Below are 2,377 nucleotides of genomic sequence, written 5' to 3' on the forward strand. Positions count from 1 at the left end.
GTAAACACTTAAGAAAATGACAATTCTACAATGCTTTAGAAAATAGAAGAAAACACATAGAAATTCATATTATGAAACTGGTATTAGGCAGATGCCAAAATCAGACAATGACAGTCCAAAGTATAAAATTATGGACTAATATAATTCATAAATATAGATGGAAAAAGTCTTAATAAAATATTAGTAGAATTCAGCATCATATGAAGATTTTTTGATACAAAATAACAAAGTAAGATTTCTTCCAAGGGCGGGAGTCTCGGTTTGTAGTGGCTTCGCTGAGGCAGTGGTGGCCGCACTGTACCGTTAGAAACTCAGTTTCCCGGAGGTTGTAAGGCCCTTTGAGGTGAAATGGCTCTGGGCGTGAAAGGAGCAGGCGTTGGCAATGGAAGGACCACCGCGACCTCAGGCTGACCGTAGGGAGGGATCTTGAGGGCCCTCCGAGTCCCCGGGGCTTGCGCTTTTTTTCTTTGTAGCCACCGTGCCTACCGCGAGGATGAGCTCGGCCTCGGTCACCGCTTTCGAGAAGGAGCATCTCTGGATGTATCTGCAGGCGCTCGGCTTCGAGCCAGGCCCAGCAACCATTGCCTGCGGAAAGATCGTGTCGCACACGCACCTCGGAGTTTCTGGACCAGTCACTCGCCAAAGAAGTTTTCAAATTTTGTTGGCCCCCATTTGACCAAAAAAGTGATACTGAATTCCGAAAACATTGCTGTGAATGGATAAAAAGGATTTCTGGTGAATGTGGAAGTAGCTTTCCTCAAGTTGTTGGTTCACTATTTCTTTCTCCTGGTGGTCCTAAGTTTATTCATCTGATGTATCATTTTGCAAGATTTGTTGCAATGGAATATATTAAATCCAATTCTAAAAATTATCAGTTAAGCAGATACGAAACTTGACATCTGAATGTATAGGATTGGAAAACCAAATAAAGAAAATGGAACCCTATGATGACCACAGTAACATAGAAGAAAAAATTCAAAAGGTTCGGTCTTTGTGGGCTTCAGTGAATGAAACGCTCATGTTTTTGGAAAAAGAGAGAGAAGTTGTTAGTTCGGTCCTTAGTCTTGTTAACCAATATGCTTTAGATGGAACTAATGTTGCTATTAATATTCCAAGGCTCTTACTTGACAAAATTGAGAAACAAATGTTTCAGTTGCACAAAGGAAATGTTTATGAGGCTGGAAAACTGAACCTCTTAACAGTTATTCAGTTATTAAATGAAGTCTTGAAGGTGATGAAATATGAACGTTGTCAGGCTGATCAAGCAAGATTGACGGTAGACCTTCACTACCTTGAAAAAGAGACCAAATTTCAGAAGGAAAGATTGTCAGATCTGAAACATATGAGGTATAGAATAAAAGATGATCTCACAACTATAAGACATTCTGTTGTTGAAAAGCAAGGAGAATGGCATAAAAAGTGGAAAGAATTTCTTGGTTTGTCTCCTTTCAGTCTAATTAAAGGTTGGACTCCATCTGTAGATCTTTTACCACCAATGTCTCCCCTTTCGTTTGATCCTGCCTCAGAAGAAGTGTATGCAAAGAGTATTCTTTGTCAGTATCCTGCTTCATTTCCAGATACACATAAGCAACATAACCAAGAAAATGGTTGCAGAGGAGACAGTGATACCTTGGGAGCTCTACATGATCTAGCCAACAGCCCTGCCTCTTTCTTGTCGCAGTCAGTTTCATCATCAGATAGAAACAGTGTTTCACTACTTGAAAAGGACACAAAGATGGGAACTCCCAAAGAAAAAAATGAAGCAATTTCTAAGAAAATACCAGAATTTGAAGTGGAAAATTCTCCATTATCAGATGTTGCAAAGAATACAGAGAGTAGTGCATTTGGAGGGTCTTTACCAGCTAAAAAAAGTGATCCATTTCAAAAAGAGCAAGATCATCTGGTAGAAGAGGTTGCCAGAGCAGTTTTATCTGATTCACCACAGCTCTCTGAAGGAAAAGAAATAAAATTAGAGGAACTAATTGACTCTCTGGGTTCTAACCCCTTCTTAACAAGGAATCAGATTCCCCGTACTCCAGAAAACTTCAGGATCTTCGTGGTTGCTTTGCCCTGTAGGTCAGAAATTGCAATGGGAACTGCTATTCACTGAACTGGAATCCATAAATATAATAAGGGTAACTGAATCCTGGAGTGGCAGGGGCCAGAGGTGACATTTAATTACCAAAGATAAGATGGGTGATTACCATAACAGAGTTTAGAATCAAAGCAGCAATCAGAAACATCTGACTTGTAGAACCCTATGGTGTCAGCTAGCTGATCATGCTGTCCCTAAAGTTAAATAGATAGGAAGCCTACTGAATTCATACTCAATGTGTTTAAGCAAAAAAGTTACAGGTCATGGGAACATAATTCTAAG

At 39.9% G+C, this 2,377-nt stretch overlaps 1 pseudogene; it reads left to right on the forward strand.

Moving 5' to 3' along the window:
* HAUS6P1 (HAUS augmin like complex subunit 6 pseudogene 1) lies at positions 244 to 2,048 on the forward strand (annotated as a pseudogene).

This window comes from Homo sapiens, chromosome 7, assembly GCF_000001405.40.
Source record: "Homo sapiens chromosome 7, GRCh38.p14 Primary Assembly".
NCBI lineage: Eukaryota > Metazoa > Chordata > Mammalia > Primates > Hominidae > Homo > Homo sapiens.